At 37.0% G+C, this 21,007-nt stretch overlaps 1 protein-coding gene and 1 long non-coding RNA gene across 21 annotated transcripts in view; one reads left to right on the forward strand and one right to left on the reverse strand.

Annotated features, from left to right (window-relative positions):
• Window positions 1–21,007, reverse strand: part of MCTP1 (multiple C2 and transmembrane domain containing 1) — a 581,405-nt gene that overhangs the window by 451,655 nt on the left and 108,743 nt on the right. The window lies entirely within an intron of this gene.
• Window positions 1–21,007, forward strand: part of LOC105379085 (uncharacterized) — a 121,023-nt gene that overhangs the window by 16,771 nt on the left and 83,245 nt on the right. Inside the window, exons 2-5 of one of the 2 annotated variants that reach the window (XR_948578.3) lie at window positions 1,257–1,384; window positions 10,944–11,037; window positions 19,262–19,415; window positions 20,594–20,948. This is a non-coding gene — a long non-coding RNA (uncharacterized LOC105379085). Of the gene's footprint in view, window positions 1–1,256; window positions 1,385–10,943; window positions 11,038–19,261; window positions 19,416–20,593; window positions 20,949–21,007 lie in introns of those variants that run through there. The other variant, XR_948575.3, reaches the window with a different exon arrangement.

Consider the following 21,007-nt stretch of genomic DNA (forward strand, 5'->3'; position numbering starts at 1 on the left):
ATTCTAATGAAGGATTTAGGCAAGATTGTTGGACTCTTGTTTACCTAATTTTTTTGAGTATAAAATTCCTTCAAATGTACATTAAACATTTGAAAACAATTAGTATGTGTATGATTGTTTTGCTTTATAATAGCTAATAAAAAAAGAAACCCTAAGGTGGGTGAAAAAAGTTATTTTTTACACCCTGCCACCTAATCCTTAAAAATGTTCCATTTTGAGCACCAAAATGAAGTCTGTAACAAAAAAAAAAGTAAAGAGTTACAATCCAGTTTAGGATTTTAATTATATTCCAATATAGCAACCTATACACAAGATGGCTAGAAGCCATTAAACTGCACAGACCTCAAAGCTATGGAAGGAGACCTGAACTGCACAATAGCTGTGGTTGTCAGAATTCTAAGAGGGCCCCTAGGATTCCTCCCCCATAGTGTTCACACCCTATATATCCCCTTTCCCCCAAGTGTGGGAGAGATGTGATTACGATAGGAGAGTCATTTCCTTGGTTAGGTTCTACTGAATGACAAAGGTGATGGGTTGGTCACTCATTTGATTCCATTACATGATCTGCACCCTGGAGAGAGTTTTCTTCCACTGGCTTTGAAGACATAAGCTCCCATATTGTAAGGTGGCCACATGGCTAGGACCTGAGGTGGCCTCTAGGAGCTGAAAGCAATCCCTGGCCAACAGTCAGCAAGAAACAAGGGACTTCAGTTTCTAGGAACTAGGAACACAAAGACCTGATTCCTGTCAATGATGTAAATGAGCTTGGAAGAGGACTCTGAACTCCAGATGAGAACTACAGTGTGGTGGACACTTTGATAACAGCCTGGTGAGATTCCAAACAAAAGATTCAGAGAAAAGGAGGCCTGATTCCAGACCCACGGAGACTGAGATAAGAAATTTATGTTAAGTTGCTAAGTGGTAATTTGTTACACCGGAAGAGAAGACTAATGACCAGCATTTATCTGTGGATGATACATTTAATGGTCAACAAACACATCTCTTAGGCACATGATCTGAACTGCAAAGTGAATTAAAGATATTCTGAATCCAATACCCAAACCATTTTGGAAACTCTAGGTTTTAATTCTACTGAATATGCATTACAGACTTGCCTGGATAAGTGAGTTTCCGTTTAAGCAATGATCCCCATTCTCTAGTTACCTTAACTCATATCATTCTTGTTCACAGACACTACTTCCCTAACATGTGTTCTGTGGTAGTTTTTAAAAAGCTCTCATCTGCTTTCTTCATAGCCACCCCAATAATGATGCTGAAGACAGAGAACAAAGAGAAGTAGATGAAATGACTCACTGAAGAACACTTTTCTAATTAGGTGCCAACTTAAGAAAACTGGGCTTATGTCAAAGTCTGAACATTTATTGTAAGTGTTTTTGGTTCCTCTTGTAATTAATTGTAAATATTTGTACAAAACATAGAAGTTTTTTTGCATTCCTGTCACTGATCAACTAAAGTCACAAACCAATTTTAAAACTAAATATTTCAGCAAACAGACTTGGCAGTAAAATATAATTTCCTCAACATCTGATATATTGGTGAAACGTTATTAATTCATATTTTCTCATGCATTCATGGCTGATCTTATGAGTAGAGAGAGAGTCAAGCTTGCTAAGAAATGTGATTTGAGGAGTAGGACTACAAGCTTAAACCCAAAGCTCACATCACCTTAATAAAGTGCCCGGTATTCCTGTCATTATAATTTACTCTGTGGCCCTAATACTTTTTTGAAGTAGTTATGTGAAAATTATAAATAGGTAAAATCAAATATATATGTAAATTAGTGAAAATTAACTCATTTGGGTTAAAATAGTCTTCAGAAAGACTATGAAAATCCAAATATATTATAAAGTAGTAGTTAGGTCTTAAAATATATCAACCAATTGTCCAGCAAAAGGTTTCTTTGGGAATGGGACATGGAATAGCCAATCTTTGATAGAAGAGGGTACTGCTATAGAAGGTCCTGAAAAGCTAAGAGACAGGATAAAGGGCCTGGAACCCAGGGCACCCTAAAGATAAACCAAATATTTTATGAATTCACTTGCACTGACCCTAGATACAGATAAGATATTGAAAGCTAGTTTTCTAATTTATATTATTCTATCAAATGAATTCAGCTGCCCTGTAGACCCATATAGAAAACTAGGAAACAGAAAACTTTAGCAACTTGTCCATGGTCAGTGGTATAAATAAGGCTAAAGACGAAGGCAAGAGATTTATATTTAATCTTTTTCTCAAATCAAGGGATAAACAACTAAATATACCATTAAAAATACTGGGAAAAAATTTTAAGATTTCTCATTATGGAAAAGTAATGTACAAACAAAGTCACCATGCAATCATGGCCTAAAAGAGCTTCTCAATTTTGAAATTAATATATGATTACATGGAGCAGGGATCAGCAAACTGTGGCTCACGGGCCAAGTCAGCCAGATGCCTGTTTTTATAAATAATGTTTTATTGAAACACAGTCACTCCCTTTCCTTCATTTATTGTTTATGGCTGTTTTCCCATTACGCCGGCAATGTTGAGTTGTCATGACAGAAACAGCATGGCCCGCAAAGCCTAAAATATTTACTGGTTCTTTACAGAAAATATCTGCCAACCCCTGTTGTAGTTCATTAAAAATCAGTGTTTAGTGCAAGTCTACATCTACTATACCTATAATACCTAGAACAAATCATACATGATCTCACTAAAGAAAGCCCTTGGTTAATTAAGTAAATAAATAGAATTGATATTAAGTAGACACAACGAAAATGTTACATATTGAGCCTGGCAGTCAATTCCACAAACACAGACCTGCACAATATGGACTGTGACAATATCTTGCTTTTTTTGTAAACATTCTTAAAATGGTAAACACATTCCACTGGCATTTTTCATCATCACATATCATTCATTTATTGTAAATCTCAAGATTTTAGTCACAAAACATTTTTTGATGGATTTCACTTTCTATAGGCCTTTGTGCATTGCAGCTTTGCAAAAATTATACAATCCTCTGGGTACAAATTAACTTGAGAGCCTGGCTGAGATGGAAAATATGATAAAAATGGAAATACAAAAGGCTGTGATGGCTTTTTAAATTACAGGATATGTATAGCAATAAATAGTAAATCTGGTACTTTTTAAGAAGGATGCCATTGTTAAGAAGCCAGATTTTAAAAATAACAACAAGGAATATCAAGCCTATTCCCAACATTTTCCAAAAGGAATTTAACTCACTTAAATAGCATCTGTAATTTTAGATAAATAGTTAAACTCAAAAGCAAATTTAGGGACATGTGCAATGGCTCATGCCTGTAATCCCAGCACTTTGGGAGGCCAAGGCAGGAGGATCACTTGACCTCACAAGTTCATGACCAGCCTGGGCAGCATGGTGAAACTCTGTCTCTACAAAAAATACCAAAAAAAAAAAAAAAAATTAGCCAGGCATGGTGGTGCATGCCTATGGTCCCAGCTACTCAGGAGGCTTGAGCCGGGAGGCAGAGGTTGCAGTGAGCTGAGATCACACCACTGCACTCCAGCCTGGGTGATAGATCCAGACCTTGTCTCAAAATAATAAAAAGCAAATTTATTTAATATAATTTCTTAATTTTTTTATGGTGCAGAATTTTTTAGTTTCTGTTGAGTATGTATCCATAACTTTGAGAAAATTATTTTTTGAAAAACTATTTGATGTTGACTTTAGGCAATCATACCAGACTACAACCATGTAGAATTAAAATGACATCACGTCTAAAAAATAATTAAAGTCAAAGTACCTGATTTTTGTAAAGGGTTGTCAACTCTATCTATAAGACTGTGTCTACTAACTTAGTATAAAAATTCCAAACCACAATATCATGTCTCCAGATATGCCTTTGAAGACATCAATGATTGACTTCAAATCCTAATTACCCAAAACTCAGAAAACATATATGGAATTTGCAATATTTGAGAGATTCAAGAGGCTATGCTAATAGTTGCTTTCTCTCAATTCCCTAAGCTCTTTTCATTCATTTATTCTTACATCCAAACATTACACACTTTCTGATAACTACTGTGTGCCAAGTATATCAGTTATACTATCACTATGTATACAGCTCACCAGCAAAAGAATGTCATATTCTATTTTCAAAAATCATTTGTGAAGTGCCCATAATGCATGTACTATATACTATGTTAAGTTCTAAGGATAAAGAGATTACTAAGACACAACAATGGTTCTAAAATGTGAGTATGTACCAGATATATCTTAGGATTTTATAACTATATAGAAGCTTAGCACCATCCATACCCAGTGTATCAGAATTTCTGAAGCACAACTTTGATTTTTTTTTCAAGTTCCACTTGTGAGTCTGAAGCACATTGAAGCTTGAGAGTCATTTCTCTGGAAGATGTTCCATACAGTGTAGAGATAAGGCAAGTACTATGAATAAAACAGAAACACAAAGAGGGAAGCATCAAGTTCTACCTAGAGTGATCATAGAGATCTTCTCTAAAGGGGTTAACCTTGAAGCTGAGTTTTAGCAGATAAGAAATTTACCAAGCAGATAAGCAGGCAGTGGTAAACCATATGCAAAAGAGTCAACACACCTGGAAATATATGAAGGCGTGAGAACAGCATGCTATGTTTGGGGAACTGCAAGTAGCTAGGTAAGGATGAAGGGCACAGATGCAGAAAGCCCAGGAGAAGAAGTTGGAAAAGTAGGCAGAAGAAGCCAGATCATGAAGTGCTTTGTATACAACGGCAGAAATTTTGATGCCCTCTTGTGAGCCATAGAATGTTACTGAAGTTTTGTAATCAAAGGAGTGATATGATTAGACAAATTGCAAATAGTGAAGGAGAATCAGATGGCAGCAGGGAGATATGTTATCCTGGGTGAGAAATGATGAAGATTTGAACAAAAATACTGGTGTTAGGAAAGAAAAGCGCAGATAAAATAGATCTTCAGGGAGTAAAGTTGACTTGTCCAGGTGATAAACAGATTACAAATGGAGAAGGAGTACAATTACTAGTTTCTAATTTGAGGACTCACTATATTATGCATTTTGGAAAGAGTAATAATAGCTAACATTAATAGAACATTTGCCATGTTCTAGGCACTGTTTTTGGAGCTTTGTTCACTTAATCCTCATTATATAACAAGAGACATTATTTCTTTTAATTTTTATTATTTTTTGAGACATTGGTCTGGGCAAATATTTCTTAGATATAACCCCAAAAGTACAGCAACAAAAGCAAAAATAAACAAATGGGATTGCATTAAACTAAAAAGCTTCTGCACAGCAAAGGAAACACTTAACAGAGTGAAGAGACAAACCATGGAGTGGGAGAAAATATTTGCAAACCATATGTCTAATAAGGGGCTAATACCCAAAATATAGGAACTCAAATAACTCAATAGCAAGAAAACAAATAACCTAATCAAATAATGAGCAAAGGACCTAAATAGACAATTCTCAAAAGAAGACATACAATAGCCAACAGTTATATGAAAAAAATGCCTATCACTAATAATCAGGGTAATGCAAATTAAAGCAATACTACCTCACACCTGTTAATATTGCTATTATCAAAAAGAAAAAGGATAGCAAGTGTTAGTAAGGGTGTGGAGAAAGGGAACTCTTGTGAACTGTTGCTGGGATGATAAACTAACACAGCCATTATGGAAAACAGTATGGACATTCCTCAGAAAACTAAAAATAGAATTACCACATGATCCAGCAATCCTACTTCTGGGTATATATCCAAAGGGACTGAAATCAGTATGCTGAAGAGATATCTGTACTTCCATGTTCATTGCACCATTCTTCACAATAGCTAAGATATGGAAGCAACCTAGGTGTCCATCATCAGATGCACGGATAAAGGAAATGTGGCTTATATGCATAATAGGATAGTATTCGGCCTCATAAAGGGGGGAAATCCTGTCATTTGCAACAGCATGGCTGAACCTCGAGGACATTATGTTAAGTGAAATAAGCCAGGCATAGAGAGACAGATACTGCATATCTCACTCATACGTAGAATTTTAAAAAGTTGAACTCACAGAAGTAGAGAATAGAATGGTAGTTACCAGAGGCTGGGGGAAGGGGGTCAAGAGGGAAAGGGGAGATGTTGATCAAAGGGTGCAAAGTTTCGGTTACGAGAAATAAGCTTCAGTGATCTAATGCACAAAATGGTGACTATAATTAATAAAATGGATCGTATACTTCAAAATTGCTAAAAGAGATTTTAAATGTTTTCACCACAAAAAATATGTAATAAATTTGTTAATCAGTCTGATTTAATCATTCCACATTGTAAACATATATGGAAACATCACTTTGTACCCCATAAAAATAAACTATTATTATTTGATAATTAAAAATAAAATTTAAAAAAAGGTTAGGAAAATGAGGCACAGAAAGGGTGAGTAACTTATCAAAGTTCACCAACTAGAAAATGACAAAAGAAGTCGGGATTTGAACCCAGTCTGTCTGGTTGCACAGCCTGTGCTCTGCTAATCACTCTACTATACTCCTATTTAAAGAGAAATACAGAGAAGCATAGAGGACTTCAGGAATCAGAGTCGGCTTTGTAAGAAAAACACTCTGATCAAGTGGGGAGATGTTAACTTTGAGACTCCTGTCAAAGTATCCAGTGGGCAGTGAAGAATGTGGATCTAGAGTTCAGGAGAATGGTCTGCTCCAAGCATTTAGAATTAGAAAACATCAGTATGTAGGTAATTTGCCACTGCTGGTATAAAAACGATACCAGGAAGAACTTGTGCACTGAGACGATAAGTAGGCTAAGAATAGCATTGATAATATTTTAGATGGAGACAAACCCATAATGTTTATAATGTACTGTTATGTTTACATAGAGATTTATATCTACTCATCTACATCTACATCTATTTTATTACAAAAGAATTTCACTTCTTTGAGAGACAAGGGTGCCTCATCACTTACCAGAAGACAACAAAAGTTGTATTTTTGAAAAAGTAATGAAACAATTACCTGACAAGATTTTTCAACACTTCTTTGTTGGCCTTAACTTGTAGGAGAGGAAACCCATAGAAAGGAAACAGACTGTTAAATGGAAGAAAAGTCATGTAACTTCCTCTTTTAGATTATTTACAGGCTGTGAAGCAAACAGTGAAGTTACCAAACCTGTAGCTAAATCTATAAAATATATCATGTTTGCACAACTTCATCAAATGACATTCTAAAAAGGATTATTCCAAAAAGACTCATTATATTGCCATCAGACATTTCAGCCAAAATACCAACAGAATGCCATGATCCAATGTGAAACTGAGAAAGCTACACACATATCATTTTGGTAGCAAGGAAAATGTTAGATTACTTTCATTTCTCCCAGCTTCAATAATAGCCTGCTTCATTCTGTAACAGTGAGATTCCATGTCACCAACACCATTAATCTGTCAACCATGAACACTACTTAACTTTGTGCTCTTCCCTCAGGATTTACATATAAACCTTACAGCAGCTCTTGGCACTATTTCCTGGCTCTTCTCAGCAAACACAAAATATTGGCAGGAACTAGGATTAAATACTCTGTCATATCTAAAGGATGGCCTAAATTGGAAAGCAATATTAGAAATATCAGTATCATCCTTACTCTTTGAACAAGTCCGTGTGATGCAGACCTTCAACATTTTAATTTTATTAATATTAACTTAAAAAAACAAAAATTACACATCAAAATTTGTCTTCTTTGTATATGAATTTATCCAAAATACATGCTTTTGATTATTAACATACCCAAACTATCTTACCTTGTTTTTATTTAGAGTTAGGAGTTAAAGATTTAGTATAGTGAAGGAAAGGTGTCAGAAAAGCCAGGGTTTGTGCCAGGGCTTGGCATAGTGCCTGCCTCCCAGCAGGAGATCAATAACTGTTGAATAGACAAGGCCTCAGTTCCCAAGGTGACAGATATATACTGTGACCTTTTGGGTTAGGTAGATAATGCTTTTTAAATGTTCTGTATAGTCCCAATATAAGAGTTGCCATGTATTGATGTTTCCTGGTTGGCATTAGCTTGACATTAAAAATTCAGCCTTTATTATGAAAGCATTCCAAATGTTCTTTTGGTTCATTCTTGCTGAGAAAATCCCTCCCTGTTTCAAATGAAAGGGGGAAAAATGCATATTAGCCTGTAAGGCATTACTATATAGAGAGCAGTAGGACTGCCTAACACGTGTTGGGTAACACTGCATATTCAATAGTATATACAATATTTAAATGCCTCGAAATTTTGTATGATTTGCTACTCTTATCAGAAAGATGTGTCATATCACTGGGAGGTTCTACTTTTTTCTTCAAAGCAATTAAATGTAGGTATTGTTTTCCTAATGGTGAAAGAGAAGTTAGTATCTCAGTTTGCTTCCATTATAGGAATTCTCTGTAACACTAATCAGCCGTGTGGTCTTGGGACATATTTGTAACTTTTCTGAGCCTCAGTTCTCTTTCTGTAAAAGAAAAAATTTAAATGATGGTTGAAAATCACATTTTCTTTTAAGTCTAGCTCATTAATTATCTCATGCTTTTATTTTAGAAAGGTATTTCTTTTACAGCTCTAGTTTATGGTAAGAGGTTTTAATTAATATACTGTAATGCCAATCAACTTTTATTTTCTCCAATTGGTAATTATTTGAAATTCTTTGTATCTATGATTTATTACTTCTGCATCTGAGTTCATATATTCTATTTTCCATTACTTCATAGCTAGGCAGAAAAGGAACCAGCCCTGGTACCTACTGATGGTGTTCCTAGGTTCTGCATACTTTTCTTTGAAAATAGATTGAGGTTTTTTCCTTTATCTTCATCAAAACAGTGTGAAATTGAAGTGGGAGCATTATTTGCCTTAGTTAAGAAAATGATGTAAACAATTGAACTCACTTTTAATTTTTTCTGTAAATCACTTTCCTTTCTTATTCACATCAAAAAAAAAGGTTTACAAGCAGCTCCTTAGCAAATTTTAGCTTTAGAATGTCTGCAACAATAAATGTTTTGGAATCTTAAACTCTGCAACTTACCACAGAGGGCAAGATTAAAGAAAACATTTGGTCAGAAACAAATCTCTCCCCCCAAAAAATGCTTCATACAGCAAATTAATTACCTAAACACAATTATGTCACCAATTTTTAAATTTGCTCACTCATAATTCTTAGGTTACAAGACAAAATAACCAAATTTTACCAATTATATTTGGATTTCAGATAAACAATAAATAAGTTTTAGTATAATAATACATGCAATATTTGGAACAGATTTATACTAAAATGTATTCTTATACTAAATGTTAACATACACTATATGTTAAAAATTATTTGCTATTCATCTGAAATTCAAATTTAACTGGGTATACTGTATTTTTATTTGCTAATTTGATGACCTTTTAATATTTCTATTTATAAAAGGAATTACAGTGATGCTAGCTGGATAATGTAAACTCCAAGTGGCCTAATACAAGAAATCTGTTTCTCATGGTCTAATGTGAGTCTTCCTAGTGGAAGACGGCTTTTCTCTAAGTGGTCATTCAAGAACCCAAACTCCTCTCATTTTCTGGCTGTATCATCCCATAGGCTTTGGGAGGAGTCCTCTGCATCCAGCAGACAGAAAGAGGGAGGGGGAATAAGGCACACCCACTTCTTAACTGTGTCAACCCAGAAATGACACTATTTGCACTCACAAGTCATTGGTGAGAAGCAGTCACATGGCCCCACCTAGATTCAACAGGAACTGAGAAATTTAAACCCTTGCTGAGTGGTGACTTCCCAGAGACACCTCTAAATAATGAAAAAGATGAATAACATTTTGGTGAAAAGTCTGTGCCTCAGCATGGAACCAAAGGAAATAAATACGATAAGCATCTGATACAATTTCATTTTGTATTAGGATGGAGCAAAAGTAATGGCAAAAACTGCAATTACTTTTGTGCCCACCTAATACTTTGGAGAGATAAACCACCAAATTTATTTGGGACCCTCCCCTCATTTTATTAGCAGTGTACAATCTTTGATATTTAGTACGCAGTAGAAATGAAGCTGACCTAGTTGATGGTTTTGTGTGGAATTTTTTTCATGATACTGAAAAATTGTGATTACACATCTATATCAATCTATGTGAAAGATCATGAGAATCAACAAGTTAATAGGTGTGAATTGCTTTGGGGAATTCAAATGTCTTGCATTAATAAAATCAAAACACGTGTTACAACTGAGGACTCCTCAGAGGATATAGCTGTCTGCTACAAAGACCACCAGCAGCCACATTCTCCCTCAATCTGGGATATAACACTGAGCCCTGAAGTCCGCTTGAAACTTAACCAGAAGGATCAACCATGATACACATTATCTTAATCTGTGAGTCTGTCTTTCCAACTCTGAGAGGGACTTGGTTTCTTACTTGCTTAGTCATGTCTTTGGAACATTCTGATTCTGCCCGGCTGTTTCCTATGTTCTCGTCCTTCTTGGATCTCGACCCACTGACTCTGATGTTCCCAATTGGTCCAGAATTTTGCACTGACCTACTGTTTGATATGCCTCCCTCTCAGGGCTTGTCATAACCACAGTAATATTCCTTCCCTTTGTAGCTGGGCTCTTGATCAAGGTCTCCATAACCCCCCATTACCATATTTCTCACCAGCTTCAGTCTCCATGGGCTCTTGATATTAAATCTGTGGCCATTATTGATAAGCTGCATTGCCTAAATTGTCTTTATAAATGCATTCTCCTAACCTCTTCAAAATTATAGAAGGTTACCTCTTGCTCCCATACGACCAACAGTGAGCTCCAGTGTTGTATAGGTGAAAACTGCTCGAGACCTGGCTTTTTGCACTTTTTCCCCTATGGACAAAATGAACTTAGTGTGTTTCCTTTTCTCTATACCACTCAAAGGAATTTCTCATTTTTCTTCTATCCTAAAAGCTTTGAGTTCTCCAATCAAGGGAGCCTGGTCTATAAGCATGTAGTGCTTCACATCAAAACATACCTCTCCAATAGCAATGTCATAAAAATGCAGGTAAGTGTATGTTTCATAAAACCACTTAAGAGATAGAAGATTCTTGCAACATCTCACTGTCACTTAGCTAGATTCTTACCGTCTTGTCAAAAGCCACTCCATAATTCATATTACTTTTTTTCTACTTGAAATTGTGAATATGCCTTACTTTATTTTAAAAACTTATTTACCACCCTAATTTTAATCATTTTTTTTTTTTTTTTTTGAGATGGAGTCTCACTCGTCACCCAGGCTGGGGTGCAGTGGCACGATCTCGGCTCACTGCAAGCTCTGCCTCCCGGGTTCACGCCATTCTCCTGCCTCACCCTCCCGAGTAGCTGGGACCACAGGCACCCACCACCACGCCTGGCTAATTTTTTGTATTTTTAGTAGAGATGGGGTTTCACCGTGTTAGCCAGGATGGTCTTGATCTCCTGACCTTGTGATCCGCCCGCCTCAGCCTCCCAAAGTGCTGGGATTACAGGCGTGAGCCACTGTGCACAGCCATTTTAATCATTTCTCTAAACATTTTTCCATGTGTCTTTCCCTTTCTATTCTTTTTTTTTTTTTTTGTACTTTAAGTTCTAGGGTGCATGTGCACAATGTGCAGGTTTGTTACATATGTATACATGTGCCATGTTGGTGTGCTGCACCCATTAACTCGTCATTTACATTAGGTATATCTCCTAATGCTATCCTTCCCCACTCCCTGCACCCTATGACAGGCCCCAGTGTGTGATGTTGCCCTGTGTCCAAGTGTTCTGATTGTTCAATTCCCACCTATGAGCGAGAACATGCAGTGTTTGGTTTTCTGTCCTTGCAATAGCTCAGAATGATGGTTTCCAGCTTCATCCATGTCCCTACAAAGGACGTGAGCTCATCATTTTTTATGGCTGCATAGTATTCCATGGTGTATATGTGCCACATTTTCTTAATCCAGTCTATCATTGATGGACATTTGGGTTGGTTCCAAGTCTTTGCTATTGTGAAGAATGCTGCAATAAACATACATGTGCACATGTCTTTATAGCAGTATGATTTATAATCCTTTGGGTATATACCCAGTAATGGGATGGCTGGGTCAAATGGTATTTCTAGTTCTAGATCCCTGAGGAATCGCCACACTGACTTCCACAATGGTCAAACTAGTTTACAGTCCCACCAACAGTGTAAAAGTGTTCCTATTTCTCCACATCCTCTCCAGCACCTGTTGTTTCCTGACTTCTTAATGATCGCCATTCTAACTGGTGTGAGATGGTATCTCATTGTGGTTTTGATTTGCATTTCTCTGATGGCCAGTGATGATGAGCATTTTTTCATGTGTCTTTTGGCTACATAAATGTCTTCTTTTGAGAAGTGTCTGTTCATATCCTTTGCCCACTTGTAGATGGGGTTGTTTGTTTTTTCTTGAGTTCTTTGTAGATTCTGGATATTAGCCCTTTGTCAGATGAGTAGATTGGAAAAATTTTCTCCCATTCTGTAGGTTGCCTGTTCACTCTGATGGTAGTTTCTTTTGCTTGCAGAAGCTCTTTAGTTTAATTAAATCCCATTTGTCAATTTTGGCTTTTGTTGCCATTGCTTTTGGTGTTTTAGACATGAAGTCCTTGCCCATGCCTATGTCCTGAATGGTATTGCCTAGGTTTTCTTCTAGGGTTTTTATGGTTTTAGGTCTAACATTTAAGTCTTTAATCCATCTTGAATTAATTTTTGTATAAGGTGTAAAGAAGGGATCCAGTTTCAGCTTTCTACATATGGCTAGCCAGTTTTCTCAGCACCATTTATTAAATAGGGAATCCTTTCCCCATTTCCTGTTTTTGTCAGGTTTGTCAAAGATCAGATAGTTGTAGACGTGTGGTAGTATTTCTGAGGGCTCTGTTCTGTTCCATTGGTTTATTTCTCTGTTTTGGTACCAGTACCATGCTGTTTTGGTTACTGTAGCCTTGTAGTGTAGTTTGAAGTCAGGTAGCATGATGCCTCCAACTTTGTTCTTTTGGCTTAGGATTGACTTGGCAATGTGGGCTCTTTTTTGGTTCCATATGAACTTTAAAGTAGTTTTTTCCAATTCTGTGAAGAAAGTCATTGGTAGCTTAATGGGGATGGCATTGAATCTATAAATTACCTTGGGCAGTATGGCCATTTTCACGATATTGATTCTACCTATCCATGAGCATGGAATGAATGTTCTTCCATTTGTTTGTGTCCTCTTTTATTTCGTTGAGCAGTGGTTTGTAGTTCTCCTTGAAGAGGTCCTTCACATCCCTTGTAAGGTGGATTCCTAGGTATTTTATTCTCTTTGAAGCAATTGTGAATGGGAGTTCACTAGTGATTTGGCTCTGTTTGTCTGTTATTGGCATATAAGAATGCTTGTGATTTTTGCACATTGATTTTTATCCCGAGACTTTGCTGAAGTTGCTTATCAGCTTAAGGAGATTTTGGGCTGAGACAATGGGGTTTTCTAAATATACAATCATGTCATCTGCAAACAGGGACAATTTGACTTCCTCTTTTCCTAATTGAATACCCTTTATTTCTTTCTCCTGCCTGATTGCCCTGGCCAGAACTTCCAACACTATGTTGAATAGGAGTGGTGAGAGAGGGCATCCCTGTCTTGTGCCAGTTTTCAAAGGGAATGCTTCCAGTTTTTGCCCATTCAGTATGATATTGGCTGTGGGTTTGTCATAAATAGCTCTTATTATTTTGAGATACCTCCCATCAATACCTAATTTATTGAGTTTTTATCATGAAGGGCTGCTGAATTTTGTCAAAGGCCTTTTCTGCATCTTTTGAGATAATCATGTGGTTTTTGTCTTTGGTTCTGTTTATATGCTGGATTACATTTATTGATTTGCATATGTTGAACCAGCCTTGCAACCCACAGAGGAAGCCAACTTGATCATGGTGGATAAGCTTTTCGATGTGCTGCTGGATTCGGTTTGCCAGTATTTTATTGAGGATTTTTGCATCAATGTTCATCAGGGATATTGGTCTATAATTCTCTTTTTTTGTGGTGTTTATGCCAGGCTTTGGTATCAGGATGATGTTGGCCTCATAAAATGAGTTAGGGAGGATTCCCTCTTTTTCTGTTGATTGGAATAGTTTCAGAAGGAATAGTACCAGCTCCTCCTTGTACCTCTGGTAGAATTTGGCTGTGAATCTATCTGGTCCTGGACTTTTTTTGGTTGGTAGGCTATTAATTATTGCCTCAATTTAAGAGCCTGTTATTGGTCTATTCAGGAATTCAACTTCTTCCTGGTTTAGTCTTGGGAGGGTGTATGTGTCCGGAATTTATCCATTTTTTCTAGATTTTCGAGTTTATTTGAGTAGTGGTGTTTATAGTATTCTCTGAGGGTAGTTTGTATTTCTGTGGGATCAGTGGAGATATCCCCTTTATCATTTTTTATTGCATCTATTTGATTCTTCTGTCTTCTCTTCTTTATCAGCCTGGCTAGCAGTCTACCTGTTTTGTTAATCTTTTCAAAAACCAGGTCCTGAATTCATTGATTTTTTTAAGGGTTTTTCGTGTCTCTATCTCCTTCAGTTCTGCTCTGATCTTAGTTATTTCTTGCACAACTTTTCTTGCACATTCTGCTAGCTTTTGAATGTGTTTGCTCTTGCTTCTCTAGTTCTTTTAATTGTGATGTTAGGGTGTCTATTTTAGATCTTTGCTGCTTTCTCTTGTGGACATTTAGTGCTATAAATTTCCCTCTACACACTGCTTTGAATGTGTCCCAGAGATTCTGGTATGTTGTGTCTTTGTTCTCATTGGTTTCAAAGAACATCTTTATTTCTGCCTTCATTTCGTTATGTAGCCAGTAGTCATTCAGGAGCTGGTTGTTCAGTTTCCATGTAGTTGAGTGGTTTTCAGTGAGTTTCTTCATCCAGAGTTCTAGTTTGATTGCACTGTGGTCTGAGAGACAGTTTGTTATAATTTCTGTTCTTTTACATTTGCTGAGGAGTGCTTTACTTCCAACTATGTGGTCAATTTTGGAAAAAGTGCAATGTGGTGCTTAGTAGAATGTATATTCTGTTGATTTCAGGTGGAGAGTTCTGTAGATGTCTATTAGGTCTGCTTGGTGCAGAGCTGAGTTCAATTCCTGAATATCCTTTTAACTTTCTGTCTCGTTGATCTGTCTAATGTTGACAGTGGGGTGTTAAAGTCTCCCATTATTATTGTGTGGGAGTCTAAGTCTCTTTGTAAGTCTCTAAGGACTTGCTTTATGAATCTGGGTGCTCCTGTATTGGGTGCATATATATTTAGGATAGTTAGCTCTTCTTGTTGAATTGATCCCTTTACCATTATGTAATGGCCTTCTTTGTCTCTTTTGATCTTTGTTGGTTTAAAGTCTGTTTTATCAGAGACTGGGATTGCAACCCCTGCCTTTTTTTGTTTTCTATTTGCTTGGTAGATCTTCTTCCATTCCTTTATTTTGAGCCTATATGTGTCTCTGCACATGAGATGGGTCTCCTGAAAACAGCACACTGATGGGTCTTGGCTCTTTATCCAATTTGCCAGTCTGTGTCTTTTAATTGGAGCATTTAGTCCATTTACATTTAAGGTTAATATTGTTATGTGTGAATTTGATCCTGTCATTATGACGTTAGCTGGTTATTCTGCTCTTTAGTTGATGCAGTTTCTTCCTAGTCTCGATGGTCTTTACAATTTGGCATGTTTTTGCAGTGGCTGGTACCAGTTGTTCCTTTCCATGTTTAGTGCTTATTTCAGGAGCTCTTGTAGGGCAGGCCTGGTGGTGACAAAATCACTCAGCATTTGCTTCTCTGTAAAGGATTATATTTCTCCTTCACTTATGAAGCTTAGTGTGGCTGGATATGAGATTCTGGGTTGAAAATTCTTTTCTTTAAGAATGTTGAATATTGGCCCCCACTCTCTTCTGGCTTGTAGAGTTTCTGCCGAGAGATCCGCTGTTAGTCTGATGGGCTTCCCTTTGTGGATAACCCCACCTTTCTCTCGGGCTGCCCTTAACATTTTTTCCTTCATTTCAACTTTGGTGAATCTGACAATTATGTGTCTTGGAGTTGCCCTTCTCAAGGAGTATCTTTGTGGTGTTTTCTGTATTTCCTGAATTTGAATGTTGGCCTGCCTTGCTAGGTTGGGGAAGTTCTCCTGGATAATATCCTGCAGAGTGTTTTCCAACTTGGTTCCATTCTCTGTGTCACTTTCAGGTACACCAATCAGACGTAGATTTGGTCTTTTCGCATAGTCCCATATTTCTTGGAGGCTTTGTTCATTTCTTTTTACTCGTTTTTCTCTAAACTTCTCTTCTCGCTTCATTTCATTATTTGATCTTCCATCGCTGGTACCCTTTCTTCCAGTTGATCGAATCGGTTACTGAAGCTTGTGCATTCGTTGCGTAGTTCTCATGCCATGGTTTTCAGCTCCATCAGGTCATTTAAGGACTTCTCTACACTGGTTAATCTAGTTAGCCATTCATCTCATCTTTTTTCAAGGTTTTTAGCTTCTTTGCGATGGGTTTCAACTTACTCCTTTAGCTCGGAGGAGTTTAATCGTCTGAAGCCTTCTTCTCTCAACTCGTCAAAGTCATTCTCCATCCAGCTTGTTCCATTGCTGGAGAGGAGCTGCGTTCCTTTAAAGGGGGAGAGGTGCTTTGATTTTTAGAAATTTCAGCTTTTCTGCTCTGTTTTTTCCCCATCTTTGTAGTTTTATCTACCTTTGATCTTTGATGATGGTGAGGTACAGATGGGGTTTTGGTGTGGATGTCCTTTCTGTTTGTTAGTTTTCCTTCTAACAGTCAGGACCCTCAGCTGCAGGTCTGTTGGAGTTTGCTGGAGGTCCACTCCAGACCGTTTGCCTACGTATCAGCAGTGGAGGCTGCAGAACAGCGCATATTGCTGAACAGCAAATGTTGCTGCCTGATCATTCCTCTGCAAGCTTTGTCTCAGAGGGGTACCTGGCCGTGTGAGGTGTCAGTCTGCCCCTACTGGGGGATGCCTCCCAGTTAGGCTACTTGTGGGTCAGGGACCCACTTGAGGAGGCAGTCTGTCCGTTCTCAGATCTCAAACTCTGTGCTGGGAGAACCACTACTCTCTTCAAAGCTGTCAGACAGGGACATTAATTCGTATTACTTCTAAGACTCCTTTCTGTAATTTCTGTGCTAAAAATTCCACTGTGCTTAACCATTAGAGTGCTAAAAAGCCCTCCCAGGACTTCTTCACAGGCATAGATGAATTATTACTTTCTTCATATCAAACTATTTTTTTTTTGGTGCCTGTATGATGTCTAGCACTACATGAGGCACTGCAGAGCTCTACCAAGATGTGAATTTTGCCTTTTATCAGTGGTGTCTGGTTCATAATATATGCACAATACATATTTGTTGAATAAATTAAGGATCTGAGTGAGAGAACTATGGTATCTCTTGTTCTGTTGTGTGCCATTTCCTTACTTTAAAGCCAATTACCCCATTGCTTATGGTAGGGGCAGTGTTACCATAGGTCAAATCTCCAAGAGCTTAGGAATGCAAAGGGCTCTGAGAGAACACAATAAACACCCTAGAGCTTAACAATAAGTATATGCATTCATTGAATAGGAACATAGTCCCTCTTCATTTACACATGGTAATTTTCACAGATTATAGACCATATTAATTTCAGCCTTTTTTTTAGGAAAAGAAGTTGTTCTGATGTTTTTTTGTATAGTCTGTTGAACTGAAAACTATCATGTATTTACTTGGAATTATTTAGAACAAATAAAGATTATTTTCTTGTATGGAGATCGAAGACTCACAATGTTACTTTACCAAAAGAGTAGTTACTAAAACATCTACTTTGAAAATACACATTATTGACTGACTCTTAGAGCCCATGAGGCTACAAGCAATTTCAATCTATTAGAACTCAGTGATTTCCTAGGCAGCAGGAGAATAACTGACTAGAGTTACTACTTGATTCCTCTATTCAAATTGCAAGAACTAAATTATATTGGGAATGCATATGGCAAGTGGAAGGAATAAATAATATTTAGTCACTACAAGTAAAATATAATCATAACCAGAAAAAAAATTTATGAGAGAATGAAACAAAGACAGAAAATTTGCATCCTAGGACTACAAGGAGAGACTCCTAATAACTCACCTCAAGTATAGCCATCATCTAGCTCCTCAGTGTTTATAAAGTAAAGGTTAAACTGCTTACCTTGGTAGGCAAGGCATGCTACATTCTGATCCTAACAATTACATCCAGTCTCAATTCTACTTTCTCCTCCCTTTACCTCCTGGCCACATAATTGACATTTAGAGCAATTTACCAGAGTATATATTCACACATGTAGGCAGAAAATTTAATCAGTATTTTAGTGCTTAACTCTTAAGTATGAGCACAGAGACAAGAATCATCAGACATTTAGGGAAAGCCACCAACATAAAAGAGACCCAAATAAACAACCACAAAGCAATCTGGAGTTAATAGAGGCTATGAAGGGAATGGAGAATACTTAAAAAAAAAAAAGCAACAATTAATTTTCTCAGAGAGAGATAAGAAACAAATCAGAGAACAAGAAAGAGTAATTGGAAATTAAAAATGAAAGAACTGAAATTAAAAATAAATCAGTTAAAGAAATGGAAGAAAAAGCCAAGGAAATATTTCAGAAAATAATATAAAGTAGTTGAAAGGATGGACTACAGGAAAAACAAGCTAATTAAAGGGTCAATCAAGAAGGCCCAATATCAAATTGGCTCCATGAGGGCAATGTTTTGTTCACTGCTATTACCTCTAGCACAGAATTACAATGCCTTGCTAGGGGAGGGGCATGATAACTATTTGTTGAATGAATAAATGCATGCTCCAAAGAGAAATCAGAGGGATAATGATGGGATCAAAAGAGGACGAAAATAAACCTTCCCCAAAATGAAGACCATGTATCATATAAAATGGCCCATCAACTGTCCAGCACATTTTTTTCAAAACCCGTATTAATTATTAATGCTCATTATCATAAAATTTCAAAATCAGAGATAATGAAAAGATACTAAACCCAAGAACCAAAAACTAGCCATATGCAAAGAATGAGAAATCAAAATGGCTTAGATTTCTCAAAAAAATATTACAAGTTAAAAGTTATAAGAACAAGCCTTCAAATTCTAAAAGAAATTATTTCTTAGCCCAGAATTATTAATCAAATGGTGAGGTAGAATAGAGACATTTTTGCATGTGAAAAATAACAGAAAATGTCTGTCTCATTCTTGTTTGAATCTGTTCCCCTACTTACTAGGTGTGTGACCTTTGGCAAACTACTTCAGCTCCCTTGCCTCACAGCGTAATTCACATGTAAAATGGGGACTCCCCTCAGACCTCCTTCATAAGGTTGCTGTATGGATTCTGTGAGTTATTTCATGAGTAGTCCTGAGAACAGAGCCTGGCATAAAGTAAGTACTCAATAAACTGTTAATTACTATTTTTAATTATTCTAAAATAAAACGAAAGTCTCCACAAAGCAATAGGATATTTATGAAGTTCATGTGTACATCTTATTTGGTTACTAGAAAGCCATTTGTATTTTTCTTCTTACATAATGTTAGCCATACTTTTTGTATTCTCTTTTTTTTCCATTTGTCTCCCTGTCTTTCTTACTTCAACATTTATTATATTGGCACAACTGCTAAGTTTTTTGGTATGTGATGAGAGAATGACATAAAATCTATGCTTAAGTAAATTGAGGGAAAAAGGGAAAAATGCAAGAAAAAAACTTGTTCTCCAGACACAGTGGGAAAAAAATAGAATTAAACTTATATTGCACTTTTAAATCAATTTTTTGAGTTAAAAATTATAAGTGAAAATGATGCTCTGAGATTAGAACCAATTCATTAATCAATGTTGAATACAAGCACTTGGCTATGTCTCCAGCTCCTAATGCCTTTCTGAGCTGACACGCTTCATTATTGTCAGATGAGTTTTCAATTGAGAGGGATAGCTTTGAACACTCAACTGCCCTTTAGCAGGCAAACACGCAGGAAATGGCACAAGAAGCTTGAAACCAAACTCGTGTTCCTGGACTCAGTTTGGTTTTCACTCAGTGTGGCTGACTGGCACCTGTTTCAACAAACATTGGTACCCTTTCCCTCTATTCCTTCATGAAGCTATCTTCTCAGCTGAGGAACAATTAGAAAAACATTTGGGGCACATGGAAGGAATTAAAAGAATATCCAAAGTAAATTCTCCTCCTACCACACAATAAACCCTGACTCCCATAACAGAAAAATCCACTTGCAAATCAAATTCTAAAGCATTCTAAAGGATGGCTTTGGTGAAGACTGCTTGAAATAGCTTATGGGTAGGTCCAGATTTTCAGCACAACTGGATTTTAAGTGTAAGGAGAAATGCCTTTCTGCAGTCCTGTTTCCTCTACGTAAACAAGGTGTCCTCAGCACGGCCCTCAGAGGCCCACCCACTCACACCTGCCAGGATGTTGCTGGCCTCCAGCACATGCTTCCCCCAGTGAATTCAGTTCACTCCAAAAGAAAGAAAAATTACATAAGGTTTTCTCAAAACCAAACAAAACAAAAACATAAAAAACTGACATCTCTATTACCCTTTTGTTTTCCAGAAGTGCTAGCAGAATATCAGGATAAGATGGACAAAACGCAGGCTGAAAGGCAAGAAATCTGGCTCTAACACCAAAACCTCATGCCAGCGTTCTGAGTCTGCATTTCTTCCCTATAAAATACTGGTGATTCCTATTTATAGGCCTTCTTGCCTCCTTGAGAAAATCAAATGAGCTACTTGATGTGAAAGGACTTAAAAACTATCTTTGTTATTCTAATTGATAAAATGTATTTTTTTTTAACAAATATTTGTTTAGTATGCCCAGCACTATTCTAGGTCTGGGGCACATAAGAACGAGCAGTAGTAGGCCATGCGTGGTGGCTCACGCCTGTAATCCCAGAACTTTGGGAGGCAAAGGTGGGCAGATCACTTGAGCCGAGGAGTTCGAGACTAGCCTGGCCACCATGGTGAAGCC

The sequence above is a fragment of the Homo sapiens genome, chromosome 5 (genome assembly GCF_000001405.40).
Source record: "Homo sapiens chromosome 5, GRCh38.p14 Primary Assembly".
Taxonomy (NCBI): domain Eukaryota; kingdom Metazoa; phylum Chordata; class Mammalia; order Primates; family Hominidae; genus Homo; species Homo sapiens.